General features: G+C 43.2%; 1 protein-coding gene across 1 annotated transcript in view, besides 2 other annotated features; it reads left to right on the top strand.

Annotated features, from left to right (window-relative positions):
- Positions 1-17935, top strand: part of SPTLC2 (serine palmitoyltransferase long chain base subunit 2) — a 110641-nt gene extending 92706 nt beyond the window's left edge. The window contains exons 10-12 of the mRNA NM_004863.4: positions 2351-2486; positions 5765-5894; positions 11529-17935. Of these exons, the coding sequence (NP_004854.1) occupies positions 2351-2486; positions 5765-5894; positions 11529-11648 (386 nt within the window). The 3' untranslated portion in view covers positions 11649-17935. The remainder of the gene's footprint in view (positions 1-2350; positions 2487-5764; positions 5895-11528) is intronic.
- Positions 24433-24492: an enhancer, noted in NCBI's record as "active region_8803". NCBI's record gives its function as "activates an Ori minimal core promoter by ATAC-STARR-seq in GM12878 lymphoblastoid cells {active_cell/tissue: GM12878}" and the evidence as "EXISTENCE:reporter gene assay evidence [ECO:0000049][PMID:35858748]".
- Positions 24863-25052: a silencer, noted in NCBI's record as "silent region_5975". NCBI's record gives its function as "represses an Ori minimal core promoter by ATAC-STARR-seq in GM12878 lymphoblastoid cells {active_cell/tissue: GM12878}" and the evidence as "EXISTENCE:reporter gene assay evidence [ECO:0000049][PMID:35858748]".

Genomic DNA, 25114 nt, shown 5'->3' with positions numbered 1-25114 from the left:
TTTGAATGCCTGGAATTTTAAAATTATATGTTGGACATTAATTTTACATTGCTAGTTTCTATATCTTGTTGTTTTCCTTTAGGTAATGTTGGACTTTGTTCTTGGAATCAGTAGGATCCTTTCAAAGCTTGCTTTTAAGGTTAGGGTGGGTTCAGACCAATTTTTAGTCTAGGGTTCATTTATCTCCACTACTAAGGTGATAGGAGTAGAGTCCCCTTCTGAGGACTCTGTTAGATAACCCACATATTATAAGATCTTTATATTTTGGTGGACAAAAATACAAACTATTCCCAGCTCCATGTGAGTGCAGGAATTGTTTGGCCTATTGCTTTCTGATGGATCTTTTCCCCAGCCTCTGCTAGTTTCTTTTCATGCGTATAGAAATCAGTACCCTTCCCAAAGTTCAAAGGGACCCTTCAGCAGATCTCTAAAGCTCTCTCATCGCACCCCACCTCCCTGCTCCTGTACACTGCCCAACAAATTCTAGCCCCCGCAGCCTCCCCAGCTCTGATCTCAACTGACCACTCTCCACTCCAATCTCAGATGTCCTCAGCTGGCAAGACTGGGCCCTCCTTCCCTGTGCAGCAGCCTGCAACCTGCCTTCAGGCAGCACAGTCTGGCATTCCCCGTGGTTCAATGTCTAAAAGTCATTGTTTATGTACTTTGTCCAGTTTCCTATTGTTTACAGCAGGAAGATAAATCCAGCCTCTAGTACTCCATGGCCAGAAGAAGTCTCATCTTCTAAATGTAAATTAAGCATGTATTGATACTTCTAGGGGGAAGTTAGGGGACTTGGCTCATCAGTTCCCAACATACTTAAATATAACACACTTTAATGTCTGCTTTCTTCTTTGTAACTTAAGCGATGACATAAATGATGCTCTTCAGTGCTCACACTAGGCTAATCTAAGCTTGAGTGTTTTTCTGTGATCAACTTGAAATTATCTACATAAAGAGTATTAATTTTGACTTATTTGTGGCCAACTTATATAGAGTAGCTTCCCATGAATGATGGATATGTTAGTATTCTGATTCTAAGGACATTGTTAGCTATCTGTATGTCTGGTTAATTTGTCATAAGAACTTATGTCATGTATCATGCTTGGACTTTTAAAAATATGAACTTGCTGATTTTATAATCTATATATGAAAATTACTGCAGCCTTTTCTATTCATGAGTATTCATGGTTGAGAAGATTCTAAAACAGTTCTTAGCCCTTTCCAAGCAGATCTTTTAAATTTATTGCTTTGCTCTGTATAACAGAACAGTTGTTTGGATATCTTTTCAAAGATTGACTTACCATAATGTCAAAACCTGCCCAAATATTTAGTCAGTTGGCAATTGCAGACAGAAACGTGTGTTTTAATCTATTTGTGTTTTAGGGAAGATGAGCAAAATAGGATTAAAGATACGATTTTATACTATTACAGATATGTTACTGTTGTCTGGTAAGAATTTTAAGGAAACAGGCTAGGCGCGGTGGCTCATGTCTGTAATCCCAGCACTTTGGGAGGCCAAGGTGGGTAGATCACTTGAGGTTAGGTGTTCGAGACCAGCCTGGCCAACATGGCGAAACCCTGTCTCTACTAAAAATACAAAAGTTAGCTGGGCGTGGTGATGTGCACCCGTAACCCCAGCTATCAGGAAGCTGAGACAGGAGAATCGCTTGAACCCGGGAAGCAGAGATTGCAGTGAGCCAAGATCGTGCCGTTGCACTCCAGCCTGGGCGACAGAGTGAGACACCGTCTCAAAAAAAAAAGAAAGAAAAAGAAAAAAAGAATTGTAAGGAAACAACAAAATGAAACTCAGAAGATGAAAATTTGGGGGTCTAAAGGCTTCATCTCTGGTCTTATGTGTAAAATTTATTTGCAGCACAGTTAATTAGAATGAATCTTAAAGTTAGAAGATGTAAATTCTAGTTGCAGCTATGCCACTTGCTACTTGTAATGTGCCACACACTATTGTGCAACTGTAGGCATGTCACTACCTTGGTGAGAGTCTCCCCACCTATAATATGAAGATAATCATAAATATCCTGCCTACTGTCAAGGGATTTGTGGAGTGCTCAGTGAGGGGGTATGGCTGAAATTCTTTGAGGATGCTAACGCTCCATTAAACGTTTTTTACATTATTATAACTTCTGCTGTTAACAGGTAGAATGACAGAATACAAAATGAGACATTTTACATTTATATTCCATATGGTTTACTCTGTAAAATATTTTATGGTGAAATGGAAAAAAACGAAACAGAACTGATTAGATAGAATGGAGATAGAGGAGATTTACTGTCTTTTTTCCATTCCTTTTTACTTAGGATTATTTTGTTTTCTCTCACCGTGACTTTCCAGGTAAAGAGTGTGTACAACAGTTAGCTGAAAACACCAGGTATTTCAGGAGACGCCTGAAAGAGATGGGCTTCATCATCTATGGAAATGAAGACTCTCCAGTAGTGCCTTTGATGCTCTACATGCCTGCCAAAATTGGGTACGTTTTGTTGCAGATCACAGACCAGTCTGTCCTTATCCTTATCTGTGATGTGAGACCAGGGCTTATGTATTTTGTTAGGGAAAATGGTCTTGTCCTTACTGTGTTAACCTTCATTTGGTACATATGCCATAGATCAAATAGTGGATTCCAAATTGTAAAGTATGTTAATTTGTTCTTCTTTCATTAAACATTTGAGTTTCATGTACTCTCTAGGGGCCTGGGATAGATCAGTGAATAAAATACAAACATCTCTGTCCTTGTGGAGCTTACAGTCTAGTAGGGGGCAACAGTCAGACAGACATAATAAACAAATGAACTGTGTACGATGTTAGAAGGTGTCAAGTGCTATGGAAAAAAATAGAGCAGGACCTATATGGGGAGTTGAGAGTGCCCTGTGGGCGGGCCGATAACACTATTAAATAGGGTGGTCAGGGTAAGGAAGCCTCCTTGGGAAGGAAAATGACATCTGAGCAAAGATTTGAAGGAGCTGACAGCCACTGGAGAAAGAAGCATCTGTGCAAAGGCCACAGTACAGAAGCGAGCTTGCTTAGCTGACGGAAGAGTAGCAAAGAGGTCCCTGGAATTGGAGCACCGTGCCCCAGGGCGAGCAGTGGGCCATGAGGTCAGAGAGGTTTTATCAGAGTGTGTTATTGGATACTTACCAGGTGTGCAGATTACACCAGCTTCTTTGGTTTGTATGAGGCATACATAATGGAAAGCCCTGCCCTAGGATAGCTTTCAATGTATTTGAGAAGTCCAGATGTATAATGAAACCAGAAGACATTTGAAAAGCAAATGAACAGTAATTATACTGAACAAATTTTATTATATGCAAAGTGGCCCTGAAGATGTAGAATAAAGGAGTGACCTGCTTAGTATAGGCTCAGTAAGAAAGGCACATCTTGTTGGATGGGTGAGTTTTGAGCTGGATCTTAAAGCATTTCTCCAGTTTGATTGAACTCATTGAAGGAGCAATTTTTGTAAATTTTTGAATCCCCAGTGTCCACCACAGTCTCCGACACTCAGTAAATGTTTACTGAAATGAATATGGGAGAGGAAATTAAATCAGGGAACCTGGAAGTAATGTGATTCAAAGAGAATGAAAGGGAAGTAAGGAAAAGGTGCTCCCTGAGAGAAAAAGAAGAATTTGGGTTTCAACATGAAGTCATATGGGCAGTTGGTATTATGGCTTCAGAGGGGATGGGGAAGGATTTTCTTCATTCTTCTTTAAGTGGAATTCTCATAAACAAACATGAAGAGTTATCAGATCCAAAGGACTCAGTCTAGAGCTCTCTTTAAAGAAGGCTGTGTCTCCTTTATTCTACATAGGTGCAACTGACTGTGTACACTTTAATTAGGAAAGATTTAGAGAAGGTACAGGACCCAAAAGGGCACAAAAAAGCAATAACTACTAAATATAAGGAAAACAACTCTGTATACAGCATGTATAAAGAAAAGCAAGGTATATTTGGGGAGATAAAAGTTGTAAAGGCATTAAGATGTGTGTTTGTTGAGAAAAAATAAATTTGTGCATTTAAGAAGTTAAAAAAAAAAGATTTAGAGAAGGTAAAGAATTAGAATAAGGCACTAGACAGTTTGGGAGCATGTGCTGAAGATACAGGGCACCCAGGTTCATGCTGACACAAAGGAGGTATGTTGAGGAAGATGTACTGGTACTACAGAGAGTGGGAAAAGGCTGTGAAAAGACTGGCATTAATGTAATGCCAAATGTGCAGGATCTGTATAGCCCAGGCTGGAGTGCAATGGCGTGATCTCGGCTTACTGCAACCTCCACCTCCCAGGTTCAAGCAAATCTTGTGCTTCCGCCTCCCCAGTAGCTGGGATTACAGATGTGTGCCACCACACCTGGCTAATTTTTGTATTTTTTAGTGGAGATGGGGTCTAACCATGTTGGCCAGGCTGGTCTCCAACTCCTGACCTCAGGTGATCTGCCCGCCTCGGCCTCCCAAAGTGCTGGGATTACAGGCACGAGCCACTGGCCCGGCCACATTTTTTTATTCTCAAACAAATGCTGTAAACAGCTTAAAGGAAAAGTTGAAACATAAGGGAGGTCAATAAGAGGAAAAGACAAAAAGCAACATAATTTGGGCCAGGCACAGTGGCTCACACCTGTAATCCCACTTTGGGAGGCCGAGGTGGGTGGATCACAAGGTCAGGAGATCGAGACCATCCTGGCCAACATGGTGAAACCCCGTCTCTACTAAAAATACGAAAATCATCTGGGTGTGGTGGTGCACACCTGTAATCCCAGCTGCTCGGGAGGCTGAGGCAGGAGAATTGCTAGAATCTGGGAGGTGGAGGTTATGGTGAGCCAAGATCGTGCCACTGCACTGCAGCCTGGCGACAAAGCGAGAGACTCAAAAAAAAACCCACATAATTTAGTAGACAAAATTAACTAAAAGTTAGAATGTGTTATTTAGACAAGATACAGATGTGGAGTAAGGCCACAGGGCCTCCAATTTGGCTTACGATAGGGGTGGGGGATTGTTAAATACGAATTGTGTGGTCTGAGTAATCAGCTGAAGCCAGCGGGTGAACTGGCCTGACAGACACCAAAGGAAGCCCTGAATTCTGAAGCAGTGTTGTTCCCAAGACAATTAAAGAAACGTGTGATCTGGAGAGCTCATGCCAGTCAGCCATTCTGCTAGCAGAAAAGATGTGCCGTGTTACAGCAGATCCCCCACAGCTGCAGAATCCTCAGAATTTGCGGATTAATGTTAAACTGCCAAGCTTAACATTTCAAGGACCAGATTTTAATTAAATACAGGTTCATTTTGAAGCCTCTGAACCACTATTACATATCAGGGACACTTTTTTTTTTTTTTGAGACAGAGCCTTGCTCTGTTGCTCAGGCTGGAGTACAGTCGTGTGATCTTGCCTTACTACAGCTTCTGCCTCCAAGCTTCGAGAGATTCTCATGCCTCAGCCTCCTGAGTAGCTGGGACTACAGGTGCATGCCACCACACATAGCTAATTTTTTGTATTTTTGGTAGAGACGGGATTTCACCATGTTGCCCAGGCTGGTTATTTCAGTTTTGTGAAGGACACCATATAGGAGAAGACTGCTTTAGGATTGACTTTAAAAGTATTTGTGAGCTGTCAATTTTAACTTTAAAAGGAGTTAAAGGAAACTCCTATTAGAAGTCTCCAATGCCTGCATCACCAAAGAGTTGAAATCTTTGAGGACAGCAGGTCCTCTGTAATGAGTGCTTTTTCACTCCTCCTGGTTTCTGTTCTTGTTTTCCCCTTTGCAGCGCCTTTGGACGGGAGATGCTGAAGCGGAACATCGGTGTCGTTGTGGTTGGATTTCCTGCCACCCCAATTATTGAGTCCAGAGCCAGGTTTTGCCTGTCAGCAGCTCATACCAAAGAAATACTTGATACTGTAAGTAGGCACTTTCACCTTGATATAAATATGCCTTTTATTAAAAGGGCCTGTATATTAGATGAAATTCATAATATATTGATCTTGATGTTCTTGTGAGCACCTAAGACAGAGGGGGTGACAGTGCTACCAAAAACATTGGCATTTACAAAAAAACTGTCACCCACCACACCTGCATCATGAGAGCTCTGGAGAATTTTCCGGCTTTGTCTTGCTCTACTGTCTCCCTCACTATGGACTCTACAATTCTCTTTCCACTCTAGCTATTTCTACATTAAGCTTTCTCATATGTTGTTCTGTCTAAAATTTTCTCTCTTGAGCTTTCTCTCCCCTCTGCCTGGCTGACTGCCACTCATTCTTCACATCTCCATTTAAAGGAAAATTGCTCAGGGGCGCCCCACACCTTCTTGCTCTGTGTTCCCTTGGAATCCTGAGATTCTCCCTTACTAAATTCTTCACACCTATAATTATTTAATAGCAGTCTTCTCCATTAGATAAATATTGAGGATAGGAATAAGTCTGTTTTACTGATTCTATATCCCAGCACCCACCACACTGCCAGGCATCTAGTTGGGGATCATTATTACTAAGCTTAATTATTTATTATCTCAAGATATTCTCATCTCTATATATTCTCTTAATATGTTATTGTTGCAAGTCTAAGATTTCAGAGTTTAAATCATTATTGCCATCTGGGAGTTTATAAAGCTTTAGAACATGACATTTGCATAAAATTAGTTGCTAGAAATATCCATTAATGAGTTAGAGAGCTACTAATTTTTTTTTTCTTTTTTGAGAGAGAGTTTTGCCCTTGTTGCCCAGGCTGGAGTGCAATGGCGTGATCTCAGCTCACCACATCCTCTGCCTCCTGGGTTCAAGCAATTCTGCCTCAGCCCCCTGAGTAGCTGGGATTACAGGCATGCGCCACCATGCCCAGCTAGTTTTGTATTTTTAGTAGAGTCAGGGTTTCTCCATGTTGGTCAGGCTGGTCTCGAACTCCCGACCTCAGGTGATCCGCCTGCCTCAGCCTCCCAAAGTGCTGGGATTGCAGGCGTGAGCCACTGCCTGGCAAGAGCTACTAATCCTAAAGAACATTATGAATGCTTCTTTATAAAAGTTAATTATAACAATTTGATGGACATTTTGTATTCCTGAATAGCCGAAGACTTGACTTTTCTTCTCTGTTTCTACACAGCAAAATTTCTATGAGTATAAGTGTATTCCCTTTTAAAAAACAAAATTGTAGTAAGAACACTTAACATGAGATCTGTCCTCTTAACAAATTTTTCCATGTCGAATACAGTATTGTTAACTATAGGCACAGTGTTGTGAGCATATTCTTAATTACATTCTGACAATATCCAATTAGATTCAACTTTTTGATATTGTATCTTTTTTTTCTTTATTTTGATTATGCCTGTCAGATTTTTCCAATGGATTTTTCTCATTTCTCAGAAATTTTACTGGTGAATTTCTGTGATGATTTTTTTTAACCTAGAGATTTCAGCTTTTCTTTCCTTCCTACTCTATTGATGTTTTAAGAATTTTCTTTTTTCTTTCTCATGTTCACCTGTTAACTCAGAATTTCAATGTGCCTTTAAAAAAAAGTCTGTGTAACTATAACCAGTGTCTATGGCAGTAATCCATGCCTTCTGACCACAACTTTGACTTCTGAGAACTGTACACATTCATGAAAGAATTTAGATGTAACCAGGATATCTCCTTAGGATATCTAAGGAGATTTCTGTTGCCAACAAGTATGTTTGCCAACTGAGAGTTCTAATCCTTTTCATAAGATTCTCTTGAGGGATTGTTGGGCTTTGCCTCCCATTTAGTTTTTTAAAGCATAAAGTGCATTTTTTGAAACCATGGATTTGTTAAAGTCATTTTGTCTTATGATGTTTTATGGAACTAAACGTGTACTAGACCATTATGAGATACAAATTAATTTTCATTTAATAATGGGCCTCATGACATGATTCTGTATATAGAAAGTGCTGTAAAATACACACACACACATGCGCGCGCGCGCACACACACACACACACAGCTAGAGCTCATAAATGAATTCATCAAAGTTGCAGGGTAAAAGATCAGCACACAAAAAATTAGTGCTTTTATACACCAGCAATGAACAAATGAAAAGAAAATTTCTTTTACAATTTTCAAAAGAAGAAAATACCTAGTAATAAACTTAAGAAAGCCTTTCCTGGCTGGGTGCGGTGGCTCACACCTGTAATCCCAGCACTTTGGGAGGTCAGGCGTTTGAGATCAGCCTTGCCAACACAGTGAAACCTCATCTCTACTGAAAATACAAAAAATTAGCCAGGCATGGTGGGGGGCACCTGTAATCCCAGCTACTCGGGAGACTGAGGCGGAAGAACCACTTGAATCTGGGAGGCGGAGGTTGCAGTGAGCTGAGATCGCACCACTGCACTCCAGCCCGGGCGACAGTGCGAGACTCTGTCTCAAAAAAAAAAAAAAAAAAAAAAAAAGCCTTTCCCTTGTACACTGGCTAATTTACACTTGTACACTGTATTTTTAGATGTGTATATTGAAAACTATAAAACTTTGCTGAAAGAAATTACAGAAGACTTAAAGAAATGGAATGACATCCTGTGTTCATGGATTGGAAGATTTAATATTGTTAAGATGGCAGTATAGCAACCTACAGATCCTGTGTTCAGCATTTCTCAGAAAAAAATGGACTGGGAGACCCTAAGCCACTGGCCCTTTTTTGCAGAAATTAAAAGGCTGATCCTCAAATGTATATGGAACTGGCAGGGAATAGCTAAAATAGTACTGAAAAGGAAAAGCAAAGTGGGAGGACTCACACTTCTTAATTTTAAAACAAAGCTAATTACTACAAAGCTACAGTAATTACAACAGTCGAGTACTAGCATAAGGATAGACGTATAGACCAGTGAAGTAGAATTCAGAGTTCAGAAATAAAGCACAAGCATCTATGGCCAATTTGTTTTCAACAAGGGAGCCAAGACCAGTCAATGAGAAAAGAATAGTCTCTTCAACAAACAGTACTAGGTCAGCTGGATGCAGAAGAGTGAAGTTTTAACCCTACAGCATGGATAAACCTTGAAAACATTAGGCTAAATGAAAGAAGCCAAAACAAAGACTACATAACTTACAATTCCATTTATAAGAGATGTCCAGAACAGGCAAATCATAGGGTCAGAAAATAGATTGGTGGCAGCCAGCCTGAGAGGAGGGGGAGTGAGGATTGAGACAACGAGTATTGGGTTGCTTTTTAGGGTGATAAAAATACTCTAAAACTAGATAGTGACAAAAGTTGCACAACTCTGTGAATATACTTAGAAGCAATGAATTGTATACTTTAAAAGTGAATTTTGCTGAATGTGAATTGTATCTCAAAGCTATAATTTTGTTATTTTTTAAAATGGGAAGCGCAAGGATATTGGCTCAGGGGAGCGGCAGGATGGCTGTCCTAGAGGATTCGGTTACTCAGCTCTATAATGAATACATGTTTTTCTCCTAGAAACCCACCTTACCTGTGATCTAGAGGTTCTGTGTAGACTGTTAATGAATGGCGATGCATGTAATGGCTGCCTGTCCCTAACATACCCAAATACCCCACACAAGAGTCAGCACTCATTAGAATGTCATCTTATATTCACATGACACCGATTTGTCTGAAATATTTGGAGTGGGATCAAAGGAAATCTTGTAATCTAGATCCCCTTGGGCTACTGAGGATTTCTTTTTCTATCTAATGATTACTTTTCTACATTGATGAAAAAATTCTAGATTCTTCTAAAGTTTATAAATGTCCATTACTTTGTGATCTTAGTCATGTGCACTTTTGTCTTATTATTATTATTTTGAGGCAGGGTCTCAGTCACCCAGGCTGGAGTACAGTGGCATGATCTTGGCTCACTGCAGCCTCCATCTCCCAGCCTCAAGGGATCGTCCCACCTCAGCCTCCAGCATAGCTGGGACTATGCCTGCCAATTTTTTTTTCTTTTAAGAGACGAGGTCTTACTATGTTGCCCAGGCTGGTCTCAAACTCCTGGGTTCAAGCAGTCCGCCTGCCTTGGCCTCCCAAAGTGCTGTGATTACAGGCTTGAGCCACCGTGTTCAGCCTTGACTTTTTTTTTTTTTTTTTTGAGACAGAGTTTTGCTCTTGTTGCCCAGGCTGGAGGGCAATGGCATGAACTCAACTCACCGCAGCCTCCGCCCCCTGGGTTCAAGCGATTCTCCTGCCTCAGCCTCCCGAGTAGCTGGGATTACAGGCATGTGCCACCACGCCCAGCTAATTTTGTATTTTCAGTAGAGACAGGGTTTCTCCATGTTGGTCAGGCTGATCTCAAACTCCCGACCTCAGGTGATCTGCCCATCTCAGCCTCCCAAAGTGCTGGAATTATACAGACATGAGCCACCGCGCCCGGCCAGCTTTGACTTTTGTCTTAAATTATTACATCTTGTCACAGAGGTCAGGTGAATAAATGGTCGATGGGTTCTCCCAGCTTAATTTCAGACTTAAATTGTTTCCATGTGGAGCTTTCACTTATACCTCTTCTCAGAGGTACCGCTGTTGTGATAGCACATTGACGTTCAGCTCTTATTTGCTTTTATATTTTTCACATTTTGAAATGAAGAATATTTTTTCTTGTGCTACAATACATCAGTAATACTGGTGGTTTTCTCTCTCCAAACACTGATTTTTTAAAAAAATGAAGTTTAAGATGCCAGGTGTGGTGGCTCATGCCTGTAATCCTAACACTTTGGGAGGCAGAGGTGGGTGGGTAACTTGGTGCCAGGAGTTCAAGACTAGCCTGGCCAACATGGCAAAACCCTGTCTGGACAAAAATTAGCTGGGTGTGATGGCACATGCCTGTAGTCCCAGCTACTCAAGAGGCTGAGGCAGAGAATCTCTTGAACCCAGGAGGCAGAGGCTGCAGTGAGCCGAGATGGTGCCACTGTACTCCAGCCTGGGTAATAAAGCAAGACTCTGTCTCAAAAAAAAAAAAAAAAAAAAAAAAAAAGTTGCTGGGTTCGTTGGCTTACGCCTATAATCCCAACACTTTGGGAGGCCAAGGTGGTGGATCACTTGAGGTTGGGAGTTCAAGACCAGCCTGGCCAACATGGTGAAACCCCATCTCTACTAAAAATACAAAAATTAGCTGAGCATGATGGCGGGCACCTGTAATCCCAGCTACTTGGGAGGCTGTGGCAGGAGAATCACTTGAACCTGGGAAGTGGAGGTTGCAGTGAGCTCGGAGGGCGCCACAGCACTCCAGCCTGAGCAACAGAGCGATACTCCATCTCAAAAACAAAAGGGAGAGATGACAAATTGTATTCGGTTTTGTAAGTTCAGAGTGCATATAACTTTTTCTACCAAGCATATCATACTTTGAATTATAGCCTTTATTCTGCATACCTGGCTATTCACAACCCATTATTCATGGTGAGCTTGAAGGCCTTGTTCAAAAAGCAGCTCCTTCCACAGCTGTATTGTAGTCTGATCTTGTAAATGCACTAGACATAAGTCCTGCCGAAGGATAATCTTGCCATGATTGTTTTTAGCAAAGTAAAACACCAGGCATGCCTGCATCCTACTGGCTCTGACAGACCTCTACTTTGTCTTGTGTATTTTAGGCTTTAAAGGAGATAGATGAAGTTGGGGACCTATTGCAGCTGAAGTATTCCCGTCATCGGTTGGTACCTCTACTGGACAGGCCCTTTGACGAGACGACGTATGAAGAAACAGAAGACTGAGCCTTTTTGGTGCTCCCTCAGAGGAACTCTCCCTCACCCAGGACAGCCTGTGGCCTTTGTGAGCCAGTTCCAGGAACCACACTTCTGTGGCCATCTCACGTGAAAGACATTGCCTCAGCTACTGAAGGTGGCCACCTCCACTCTAAATGACATTTTGTAAATAGTAAAAAACTGCTTCTAATCCTTCCTTTGCTAAATCTCACCTTTAAAAACGAAGGTGACTCACTTTGCTTTTTCAGTCCATTAAAAAAACATTTTATTTTGCAACCATTCTACTTGTGAAATCACGCTGACCCTAGCCTGTCTCTGGCTAACCACACAGGCCATTCCCCTCTCCCAGCACCTTGCAGACTTGGGCCCATCAAGAGCTACTGCTGGCCCTGGCTCCGCAGCCTGGATACTTACCTGGCCCTCCTCCCTAGGGAGCAAGTGCCTTCCACTTACTTCCCATCCAGGTCTCAGAGGTCTCAAGGCCAACCTTGGAATCCTTATTTAACCATTCAAGTAATCAACGGAAGTTTTCACCCTTTAATCTTAAGTTTAGCCTTTTAAGAAAAACAGTAAGCGATGACTGCTGAAAGGCTCATTGTGTAATCTCCCAAGGGTTTGGTCTTATTCCATTTTCTTCTGGTCACCAGATGATTTCTTCCTTTACCATCAAATACTTCTTCATAATGGTCACAGTCTGAGGATGTGCGCAAATTCTGGTTCTTCCCAAGCTCTAACCGTAACACGTCCCACCCCCTTTTTAAAGCACTTACTGTTTTCAGAGCACCCATATCCCACCCTGGTGAGAAGGCCACTCTCACATCTGAGTGTTGGGTACAAAGCTGCTCCGTAGAGTGATGTGCACTCCTGGTGGGTGAGGGGCAGGGGCAGTGGCAGTGTGCAAAGAATTGATTACTCCTTGCAGAGCCTGTGGCTTGCATTTCCTACTGCTTTCTACGTTTGAAAATTATGACAGTCTCTGGCTAGGTCTGGGTCCAGATTAGGATTTAAACTGATAAAGGAAACTGTTGGTAAATCCTCTGCTCAGAAAGCATTTATCATGTTCCTATTTAAGGATTAGGTTTATTAATTTAGGCCTCTTAGAAGCTAACCCACTTAAATATTACTCTTCTGAATGCTAGTTCTCTTTTATTCTTGATGTCCTAAGTCAATTGAATCTGGCATCTGGGGCTAGGGTCTGCCTGTCTACATATTTTTTATTTTTTTCTGAGAAATTCTGAACACATAGATCTCTTTCCTAAACTGACATTTTCTATTTTGACTGTTTTCATACTATAACCAGGTAAAGGGACTTCTTTCAGAGAGCTTTATACTGCCTGACCAAAGAACAAATCTGAAAATCACCATTTTAAAGTTATTTTTTCAGTTGAACCAAAGTTTAAGTGAAGAGGACTTTTGGCATATTATACCCAGGATCAGTTTGTCTTTTTGTATCCATCAAGTATTACAGGAGAAGGATTGGGAACAGAATGGAAAAACAGTGTATGAAAGTCATGTTACAGGCCGAGTGCGGTGGCTCACACCTGTAATCCTAGCACTTTGGGAGGCTGAGGCAGGTGGCTCACTTGAGGTCAGGAATTCAAGACCAGCCTGGCCAACATGGTGAAACCCCGTCTCTACTAAAAAGACAAAAAATTAGCTGGGCGTGGTGGCGGGCACCTATAATCCCACCTACTTGGTAGGCTGAGGCAGGAGAATCGCTTGAACCCAGGAGGCGGAGGTTGCAGTGAGACGAGATTGTGCCACTGCACTCTAGCCTGGGTGACAGAGCAAAACTGTGTCTCAAAAAAAAAAGTCATGTTACACATTTAAGTTTTTGAAATTGCTCCTTTTATCGGTAAAGATTCTCAATCCAAATTCTCCTGGGTGTGTTGTCATCAGCTGTGATATGTTTGTGCACATTACGTATAGCAGAGGATGTAAGCAATATTATTGTTTGTGAAGTTTTGTTTTTAATGTCTTGAGTATGAGTTATGTTTAGTCACTGTCAGCATCTGAGAACTTTAATAAGCCCTTGAGATATTCCAAAGTTTTATTTTACTTTTTTAAAGAACAGAAAAAGATGAATGAAAGAACCAAGGAGAGATGCAGAGACTATATTTAGCATGTATAGGTTAAAGTAAGAAGGAGGTTGTGGTAACTAAATAGGAGTCCTATAAAATCAAATACATTGTCAACCTTTTCTGCACATCTAGTTTCCTACCATAGAATCCCACTGGAATACCACATAGCTTTTGCACTGCAGTTACTATTTACTAATGTAAACGTAGGGTTTGTAAAAGTCACAAACTTATAAGCAATGAACTTACCTGCTAGTCTTTTTATTTTGGCTTGCATGAAGTCACTGCAAATTCAAATGTCAGTACCGGCATTTAAAATATATCTATATCACTTTGTTGGTACAAAGTTATTTCAAGATAAGTGTAATTTTGTTACAAGTTTATTTTGAAGAGACAAATCTCCTGTGATCTATGCAGGACCTCTGTACTTTCTAAAGAACAAAATGTTATGTAGACATTATACATGGTTGGTTGTCTCTTCTTGAAACTGTAATGTAAATCTAGGGTCCAGTCATATCCTAGGTATCATCATTTATCCAAGTACTTGGAGGAATACAAGTATATATAAATACAGTCATTGAGAATAAGTCGATTTGAGGCATACAAGAGTAGTTTCTTACACAGTTTAACACGGCCTGATTCAAGACTCTGATAGGATTCAAACAGATACCGGTTAACCATGACTACCAAAACTGATCATCTGAGTCGATTGATAGAGGTGTGACTAGTCCTTAGCACTTTTTCTCATTCCTCTTTTTATTCAGCATTGCTGTTACCTATTTCAGGTTTATAAGACCTCTTTCAGCAGATCACATCAGAAGCCAGGAAATGCATAGCTAGGAGATGTCAAAAGCCCATATGAGGAGTGGACCAAGCAGCAGTGGCGGTTTCTCCTCGCATCTTTTTTTTTTTAAGCTTTAACTTAGCAGGGGCATGGACTTTATAGCACTTTTTCAACTTTTTGCTTTGCTTTGGATAAGAAATCCTTACCTTTAAAAAAAGCTTCTAGTCTCCATAACCCCCAAAGTACTGCTTATTTGTTTGAAGAATCCAGCCATCGTAGTGCTTTAGTCACTATCGTAAACATTCATGATAGGGCAAGGATTTTAAAACAGGATTCTTGCTTCTGTAGTCATCAAGGTGAACAGAAGCATCCTACACAACCACTAAGGGCTCTATGTTTGTGTCATGCCTCTTCAAACACCAAGGAGTTGAACATGCTTCCAGTGATTTGTCTCCGTAATGCCTTCTTCCTTTATTTGGCCTTTCTTTCTTTCTGTACCTTCAAGTTCTTGATTTTTAAAATTCCAACTCTAGAGAAAACCAATATATGGTGGTGCTGGGCTTTGAAGATAGCATATCAGACGCCTTGGTTCTGTTTGTACACTTAGCCTTACATTTCAGGAGGAGGCTTTTCATTAGGGGCTTAAGCTAGCTCCTTTGGCTTTTAAAAAAAATTTTTTTTCAAATTTCTTCATTACCTAAGGGAGCCTGCATCTAAATTTCTCAACTAGTTCAGCCTAGCTGAATTTTCTAGTGTGTTATACACTTTGCTTCCTTCTTATTGGTGAAAACCAGGGGGATGAGTGGCTTCCATGGAGAGATTTCCTGATTTCTCAGGGAGGAAAAAAGTGATGACATTTACCACTACTTTTATGTTTTTCCCCTTTTTCCAAATTGATAAGGATTTCTGGTTCCTAGTGATCCGGGATTGGGCAACAGTGCAGAACTGCCAGTCATGCCGTAGGCCGTGAAGAAAGAATGTGAGTAACTGTTGTTTTGCAAGGATTTGTAGGGTTATGGGCAGTTGTTGTTTGAAGCATTGCTATGACCTAATTCCCAAGGTATCTTTCCTCTCTTGGTGTTCTAGGTAAGCCAATGAGCTTTAATCTCTACTTGCTATAACCGTGTGCTTAGAAAAAGAGGTGAGAGTAGTGGTTTTCCTTCAAACTGTCCACATTCATGAAGATTATGAATTGTTAGGACAGCCAGGGCAAGATAGACCCTGTCTCTACAAAAATTTTTTTCTAAATTAACCGGGCATGGTGGTGCCTGCCTGTAGTCCCACCTGTGTGGGAGAATCACTTGAGCCTGGGAGGTCAAGGCTGCAGTGAGCCATGATTGCACCCCTGCACTCCAGCCTGGGTGACAGAGTGAGACCCTGGCTCAATAAGAGGGGGAAAAAAAATTGTTAGGAGCTGGGTGCGGATGCAGCCTGCAATCCCAGCTACTTGAGAGGCTGAGGCCGGAGGATTGCTTAAACCCAAGAATTTGAGCGTAGCCTGGGCAACACAGCAAGACCCCATCTAAGAAAAAAATGTTTTTTAAATCAGCTTAGCCCAAAGGGGTTGTGAATGGGGAGGTATAAAAAGCAAAGATTATTTTTTGGCTACTAAGCCAAGAACTTACAGGGATTTTTTTTTTCAGTCCCAGAACCTACAGATACCCTGCTACTTGCTTCACGTGGATGCTCAGTGCCCAGCAGCCATCTTAATACATTAAACCAGTTTAAAAAATACCTTCCATGTGGAGAAAAACATGTCTTTTTCTCGCCTCAACTTTATCCACATGAAATATGTGCCCATGGCTGGGCGCAGTGGCTCACCTGTAATCCCAACACTTTGGGAGGCTGAAGCAGGCAGATTGCTTGAGGCCAGGAGTTCGAGAACAGTCTGGCCAACATGGCGAAACCTCATCTCTACTAAAATTACAAAAATTAGCCGGGCATGGTGGCACATGCCTGTAATCCCAGCTACGTCAGGAGGCTGAGGCACAGGAATTGCTTGAACCCAAGAGGCAGAGGATGCAATGAGCCAAGATCACACCACTGCACTCCAGCCTTGGCGACAGAGGGAGACTCTGTCTCAAAAAAAAAAAAAAAAGGTGTGCCCAGGCCCCTAGCCATTGCCATGTGCCCAGCCAGAGAGCCAAATTAGAGGGCTGGCTTCCCTATCACACAGAATAAATGCTAGTGCTAGCCAATGATCCCTTTGCTTTTAATGTATAGAAAATACTGTTGTTCCTTTTGTCATTTCCAGTGACATCTGTTTTCTAAGCAGCTCTTTTCTAGGGAGGAAACCAAAGGGGCTAGGTTAAGACCCTAATAGAAATGTTTTTTCTAATCTCTGGTGAGTCTGGAAGTGTCACATTCACAGTCCACCCTTGGGAGTGGCTTGGTGGAGCTGGGGACAAGGTTTTGTTTACTACATAGTGCACATGATAAATGGCCTTAAACTGTGATTCTTTCTGGTAGGATAAGTTATAATAAACTGACCCTAAAGAATGCAATGGCTTTTAAACTGCAGTTACTGTGTTCTTAATGAAGCAATACCCAAAGCTCTGTTCTTTTGGAGCACTTGAGGGGAGCTTGAATGAAAGGTGCAGATAAGAGCAGTACCTTGATCTTATGCTTTCTGAGTGTCCTGCCTTGTTGCCATCTGCATGGATGAGTGAATGCTTCTATGCACGAGGAGACTCAAGCCAACTCAGAGTCTGCTTTTTCCAACGCTCTTCCCAGGTTTCTTTTGCAAAGCTTGGTCATTTGGCCCAGGTCTTCCTGGAAAGTGGAGTACATGTCACTGACTAGGGTGGCGTGGTGTCTTTACCCTTAACATTAAGTCTTGTTACCTCAGTGATGTGAAGCCAATGGTTGGAATTATAAAAAGCATCCTTGCTGGTTCTTCACAGGACACTGGAACCCACCCTGTCAATTCAGCTAGCATGTCCACACAGTCTTGATGATCCCTCTCTGTAACAGGCAGCTAACATTAAGAGAAGGGGGAAAGAGAAGAAGAGAGCAATAGCTTATGGGAGAGCTGAGATCTTACTTCGTTGACCCATATTTTTCCCCTGACCAAGTTACCTGTAAACTGGAATTTGCAAGGGGATGCTGTGATGATAACCCCTTTCTATTGCTGTAATGTTCATATAACCTGGGAAACTGAGAGAAGGGGATGTGTAAATAAAAGCTTAAACATTTTAGTAATGTGTTAAAATGTCACTCTCTCTTACCCTGTTTCCCTTTTTTGCCAGATGATGATTTTTTTATTTTTATTTTGTACTTTACTGGATGACTGTGAAGCGATGAGTATTGGGTTGGGGTAGGTGTGTTGATTTTGAGAGTGCATGTTAAGAACTGAAGGGGAACTACTTGAGATGACTTAAGAAGCATCCCATGCAAATATCTTGTTTTGCCCTAATAAAATATTCAGAAAGATATATCTGCCTTTATTCATTCAACCAATACATATTGAGTGCTATCTCTCTGATGGGCAGCACACTGAGCTTTGTGGTTCCTACTTGCTAGTAAACAGATAAGCACATGAACATACATGTCATTTTACAAACTGTTAAGTGCTATGGAGGAAAAGTAAAGAGCTTGGTAAAAGTAACCAGGCCGGGCGCGGTGGCTCACGCCTATAATCCTAGCACTTCAGGTGGATCACTTGAGGTCAGGAGTTTGAAACCAGCCTGGCCAACATGGCGAAATCCCGTCTCTACTAAAAATACAAAAATTAACCAGGCATGGTGGCACGTGCCTATAATTCCAGCTATTTGGGAGGCTGAGGCACGAGAATCGCTTGAACCTGGAGGCAGAGGTTATAGTGAGCTAAGATCACACCACTGCACTCCAGCCTGGGCAATAGAGCAAGACTGTCTCAAAAAAAAAAAAAAAAGACAGTAACCATGATCTGGTTTAGACAGGGGTGAGAGAGAAAACTGAGGACGTGGAGGGTCTGAAATAAAGTACAGTTGGAGCTTGATTAAAAACTGTGTGGGGAGGTGAGGTAGTGGGGAGGTGGTAGAGGCAGACTCACTGGGCTTTGTAGATCTTGGTGAGGTCTTTCTCTTATGCAGGGGGTGGGGGTCAGACTAGTGAAAGGGCTGGGTTTTTAAAAAATTTTTTAAATTATTACCTAAAGTGGAGACAGAGTTTCACTGTGTTGCCCAGTCTCGAATTCCTGGCCTCAAGCAATCCTCCCGTCTCAGCCTCCTGACATACTGGGATGACAGGCATGAGCTGCCACACCCGGCCCAGTGAGGAGTTTAAAGTATGGAAACAGATAACTCTCAGTGTTTTTGTAGACATGGACAATTTGATAAAGTTTATATGGAAATCTAAAGGACCTAGAATAGTCCAAACGATTTTGGAAAAGAACTTACACTACCTGATTTCAAGACTTTCTGTAAAGCTACAGTAATCAAGACACTACTGTTGGCATTAAGATAGTCATGTAGATCAGTAAAACATACTAGAGTCCAGAAATAGACCCACACATAGAAGGTTGGTTGATTTTCAACAGAGTTGCCAAGGTAGTTCCAGTGGGGAAAGTACAGATAATTCAACTAATGGTCCCAGAACAACTAAATATCCATATGGGCAGAAATGACCTTCAACCCTTAACTCATAGATATACAATAATTCAAAATAAATCACCTGAACACAAAAATTAAAACTATAAAATGTCTAGAAGAAAACAGAAGAGAAAATCTGTGACTTTAGGAATGATTTCTGAGGACACAAAAAGCATTATTGATAAGTTGGACTTGATCAAAATGAAAATTTCAAAAGACTGAAAATGAAAAGCAAACCCCAGGCTGGAGTAAAAGATTCAGAATACATGTATTTGATAAAGGCTTTCTATACAGACTATAAAGAACCCTTAAAATTTAGTAATCTATTCATAAAAAAATAGATAAAAGATGGAAAAGACATTTCACAAAAGAGGTAAACTAATGTCCCATAAGCTTATGAAAAAATGCTTAACATAATTAGTCATCAGGGAAGTGCAAATAAAAACTACAATAAGATTCTACCACCCCAGCCTGGGCAACATAGCAAGACCCCATCTCTACTAAAAAACTGAAAAATTAGCCAAGCATGGCGGTGCATGCCTGGAGTCCTAGCTACTCAGAAGTCTGAGGTGGGAGGATCCTTTGAACCCAAGAGTTGAAGGCTACAGTGAGCTATGATCACACCACTGCACTCCAACCTGGGAGACAGAGCAAGGCACTGTCTCAAAAAAAAAAAAAAAAGCCTGGCGTGGTGGCTCATGCCTGTAATCCCAGCACTTTGGGAGGCTGAGGGTGGCGGATCATGAGGTCAGGAGATCAAGACTATCCTGGCTAACACAGTGAAACCCCGTCTCTACTAAAAAAAATACAAAAAATTAGCTGGGCATGGTGGCGGGTGCCTGTAGTCCCCACTACTCAGAAGGCTGAGGCAGGAGAATGGTGCGAACTCGGGAGGCGGAGTTTACAGTAAGCTGAGATTGCACCACTGCACTCCAGCATGGGCGACAGAGGGAGACGCCGTCTCAAAAAAAAAAAAAACCAAAAAACAAAAATTCTACCACCACTCCCACCAGAATGGCTGAAATTAAAAAGAATTACAATATCAAGTGTTGGCAAAGATGTGGAGCAACTGGAGCTCTCATCAGTTGCTGGTGGGAATACAAATGGTACATCCACGTGAGAAAATAATTTGGCAGGTTTGAGACAGCAATTCCACTCATAGATAAATTTAAATTTTTTATTTTAAAATATTCATCTATTTATTTTGAGACTGAGTTATGAGACTGGCTAATTTTTGTATTTTTGGTAGAGACAGGGTTTCGCCATGTTGGCCAAGCTGCTCTTGAACTACCGCGCTCAAGGGATCTGCCCACCTCAGCCTCCCAAAGTGCTGGGAGTACAGGCGTGAGCCACCACATCCGGCCCACTTATAGATACTTAAGAGAAATGAAAGCATGTCTGCATGAGGACTTACACTTGAATACAGTCACTATGCATAACCAGAAACAAAAAACCATAATGGTGAATGGATAAACACATTGTAGTATGTGCATAAAATGGAATATTACTCAGCAATGAAAAGGAACAAATTACTGATACCTACAAGATGGACAAATCTCGGCCACATGCTGATGCTAGTGCACGTGGTGTATGGGGGAAAGAAACATGATGAGAGAAAGAAGCCAAAGAAAAGAATACATAAATATTCCATTGATACGAAATTCTACAAAGGGCAAAACTATTCTATGGTAACAGCAGGATCAATGGTTGCCAGGAGCCAAGGGTAGAAGGAGGTAGGGATTAACTATACAAAGGGACTATTAAAATGTAATTTTCCAAAAAGCATGAATCGGCGGGGCATGGTGGCTCACACCTGTAATCTCAATGCTTTGGGAGGCCGAGGCAGGTGAATCACCTGAGTTCAGGAGTTCAAGACCAGCCTGACGAATATGGTGAAACTAAATCTACTAAAAATACAAAAATTAGCTAGGCATAGTGATGTGCGCCTGTAGTCCCAGCTACTTGGGAGGCTGAGACAGGTGAATCGCTTGAACCCTGGAGATGGAGGTTGTAGTTAGCCAAGATTAAGCCACTGCACTCCAGTATGGGTGACAGAGCAAGACTCAGTCTCAAAAAAATAAAAATAAAAAAAATAAGCATGAAGTCATGTCTCTTATGGATATAAAAGTGAACACGTGTTAGGCCAGGCATGGTGGCTCACTCCTGTAACCCCAGCTCCTCAGGAGGCTGAGGCGGGAGAATCACTTGAACTCAGGAGCCAGAGGTTGCAGTGAGCGGAGCTTGCGCCATTGCACTCCAGCCTGGGCAACAGAGCAGATTCCATCTCGAGGAAAAAAAAAACAATGAACACGTGTTAAAGACTTTACTTATTAATGAGGAAACTGGTAAGGGCATTAAAACCAATTCAAAGGAGATATTGAAAAACCAACATTTATAAATCAGGAATATCGAAATTAATGTCCAAATGAAGGCAAACTTGTTTCTTCCACACTGGGAGAAGGAAGTCAATCAAACTTCTACAGGACAGGACAGATTGCACGTTTCTATGGACAAGAATTTTGTTTTTGCTACCAGTTAACCTACAACCTACAGAGCAGTAGTTCAAAGGCAATGAAAGACTAGAATCAAATAGCCTGGAAGCATGTACGCTATGTACACAATGCAGTTTTCCACTGGTGCACAGTTTTTTTCTACAGCGCACAGAAGGAAATTGGAATGGTGGGAAGGTTCTACATCATGATTGTGGTGGTGGTTACACAGATGTATACATTTGCGAAAACTAAATGGTTCAATTAAAATGGGTGTGTTTTATTATATGTAAATTATATCTCAATGAAGCTTATTTTAAAAAGGAAAAATAGGCCGGCCAGGCGCAGTGGCTCACGCCTGTAATCTCAGCACTTTGGGAGCTAAGGCGGGCGGATCACCTGAGGTCCAGAGTTCAAGACCAGCCTGGCCAACATGGTGAAACCCTGTCTCTACTAAAAATACCAAAATTAGCCGGCAGTGGTGATGGGTGCCTGTTGCCTGTAATCCCAGTTACTTGGGAGGCTGAGGCAGGAGAATCGCTTGAACCTCAGATGTGGAGGTTGCAGTGAGCCAAGATTATGCCATTGCACTCCAGCTTGGGCGACAACAGTGAGACTCTGTCTCAAAAAAAAAAAAAGGCTAGGTGCAGTGGCTCACACCTGTAATCCCAGGCTTTGGGAGGCCGAGGTGGGTGGATCACCTGAGGTCAGGAGTTGGAGACCAGCCTGGCCAACATGGTGAAGCCATTTCTACCGAAAAAAAAAAAAAAAAAAAAAGTTTCGTTGCGGTGGCTCACGCCTGTAATCCCAGCACTTTGGGAGGCCGAGGTGGGCAGATCACCTGAGGTCAGGAGTTCAAGACCAGCCTGGCCAACATGGTGAAACCCTGTCTCTACTAAAAATACAAAATTAGGCAAGCATGGTGGGGCACGCCTGTAATCCCAGCTAGCTCGGGAGGCTGAGGCAGGAGAATCGCTTGAACCCCGGGAGGTGGAGGTTGCAGTGAGCCGAGATTGCACCATTGCACTCCAGCCTAGGTGACAAGAGCAAAACTCCATCTCAAAAATAAATAAATAAAAATACAAATAAACTAGCTGAGCATGATGGTGGGTGCCTGTAATTCCAGCTACTAGGGAGGCTGAAGGCAGGAGAATCACTTGAACCTGGGAGGCGGAGGTTGCAGTGAGCCGAGATCACGCCACTGCACTCCAGCCCGGGGCGACAGAGCGAGACTCCATCTTAAAGAAAAAAAGAAAAGATAATCAGCTTCATGGGGAGTGGGGGAGGGTAAAAACAAGAGTGGGTGCAGCAGGACCAATTAGGCTATTTATAGTTGGGGGCGTGGCTTGGAGTCCAGTGGTGATGCTCTTCATGGAGACAGGTGCTCATGAATGAATGAACTCATTGTCTTCCAAGTCTCCTTTCATCTGGTGGAAGGTGCAGGAGTGTGGTAAAAAGACAAAATAATAGGCAGGATGTAAAAATATTTATACCAAAAAAAAAAAAAATTCCTGAAAAAGAACAAGGTGGCCTTGCCTTTAGTCTAGTAAATGCAATATGGTCTAGCAGGTGCTCATAAACAGGGTTTCTTTAGGCTAACATTTGAGTGTTTACCATGTACCAGGCACCCTATTAGGTTGCACCATATGAAATTGCCAATATTCGACCTTTTGAACAAAACATGGCAACTTCATATAGTTCATTCTAATACAAATTCTCAACATGGAAACCTGGCTTCTCATTTACTCACATTTACTTCTCATTTACTCACATTTACTTCACATTTACTTCTCATTTACTCACACTTCTCACACTTGGTGCCCAGGTGAGAGGGGTAACCTCTCCTGCTCCCGGGCCCCCACACTTTTACAGATGACAAGAGCACGAAGACGTCAAATAATTTGTCCAATAATATCACCTACTTGGTAAATGGTGAAAGATTCCAGTCCCCATGGCCGAATCCAGACCCAGGTTGTCATCCCTGTGATGCACCATTCAAAACCCTGCAGCTGTGCCCCTGGGAATAGGAGTAGTTCCAGAAAAGCACACAGTCCCCCCACAGTCTTACTCTAACTTGACCCAGACCCAGCAGTTTACACCAGTAGCTGGGCTTGCTCTTCATCCTCTCTACCACCCCTGGGGATCCACCAACCCTGCCCTGAAACTTGAGTCATCCTTTGTGCGCCCTGCTATGACCCCTGGGTGGGCATGTCCCCAGTGCCTTGTGACTGCTCCTCACCGACCTGTCCCAACCCCTCCCCCTACCTGGTGTCACTGCGTTCACATTCCCAAGCTGCCCCATCCAGATTGGCACTGCCTCTCAAGAGTTCCTGATCTTTGCCACAAGCTAAGGTTTTGTGTCGGTTGCTCAGAGGCAGGCCATCTTGGTGACCCTCGTGGCCTACGTGAGGATCCCTGCACCAAGGGTCCCACTGGATGAAGTGGGCAGTTTCACTGTTTCACCCAGGATACAACTAGGCGACGACCAGACTCCCGGCTGTCCTTCTGGGACTTTATCCTCACATCTGAGTCTCAACTTTCTCCTGTTTTGTTTTCTGAGACAGGGTCGCACTCTGTCGCCTAGGTTGGAGTGCAATAGTGCAATCTCGGCTCACTGCAGCCTCTGCCTCCCAGGTGCAAGCGATTCTCCCACCTGTGTGTGGGCCAGGTGCGCCGGACCTCGGGGCTCCCACCCGCTGGGACTACGGGTGCGCGCTGCCACGCCCGGCTAATTTTTGTATTTTTAGTAGAGACGGGGTTTCACCTTGTTGGCCAGGCTGGTCTCAACTCCTGACCTCAAGTGATCTTCCTGCCTCGGCCTCCCAAACTGCTGGGATTACAGGCGTGAGCCACCGGCCGACTCTCCGGTTTTTAAAAGTGCTCTGAGAACATTCCGAGGACACTGGGTGCAGAATGGCAGGTGCTGGCTTGTGCCTCTGCTCTGGTCTCCACCTCCGGCAGTAGACTGGGAAGAGCCCTGGGGGAGTTACTTCTAGGCTTCCTCCCCAGCAAACCTTCCTCGAGGCATAACCAAACATCTGCCCGGCATCCGAAGACTCGCGCCACTCTCCCGTCGGGCTGCGCCTCCCTCGCCCGCGCGGCACCGCCGGTCCAGGTCGCAGTTGGAGCGCGGTCGGGGAGGGCAGAGGTGGCGTCGGACCCTCAGGGCCCCGCAGGAGTCGCAGCGCAGGGCCGGAGCGCGCCGGGCCGCAGCTTCCCGCGAACAGGAATTCGCTGGGGGCTGCGACGGCGACAGCGGCGGGGACTGAGGGCGGGGAGGCGGCCAGATCAAAGAGAGCCGCCCACAGGGTCAAGACGGGTCGGGGAGCGCCGAGGGGCCCCTCGGAGGAGGGTGGGGGACGTCCAGGTGCGCGGACCCTAGAGCTGTGCGGGCGCCCACGCGAGGAGCCGGGGCCAGAGAGGCTGTGCGAGCTGCGCGCCCCCGCCCCGCGCGGCCCCGTGCCCCGCGCGCCCCTCAGGATCGCCGGGTCCCGCCCCCGGAGGAGGCGAGGCGGGGCGCGACTGGGTTCGCGGCCGCGTGCAGAGGTGCAGG

The sequence above is a fragment of the Homo sapiens genome, chromosome 14 (assembly GCF_000001405.40).
Source record: "Homo sapiens chromosome 14, GRCh38.p14 Primary Assembly".
NCBI classification, from domain to species: domain Eukaryota; kingdom Metazoa; phylum Chordata; class Mammalia; order Primates; family Hominidae; genus Homo; species Homo sapiens.
Note: the sequence above shows the minus strand (reverse complement) of the source record. Positions and strands in the feature narration are given on the sequence as shown.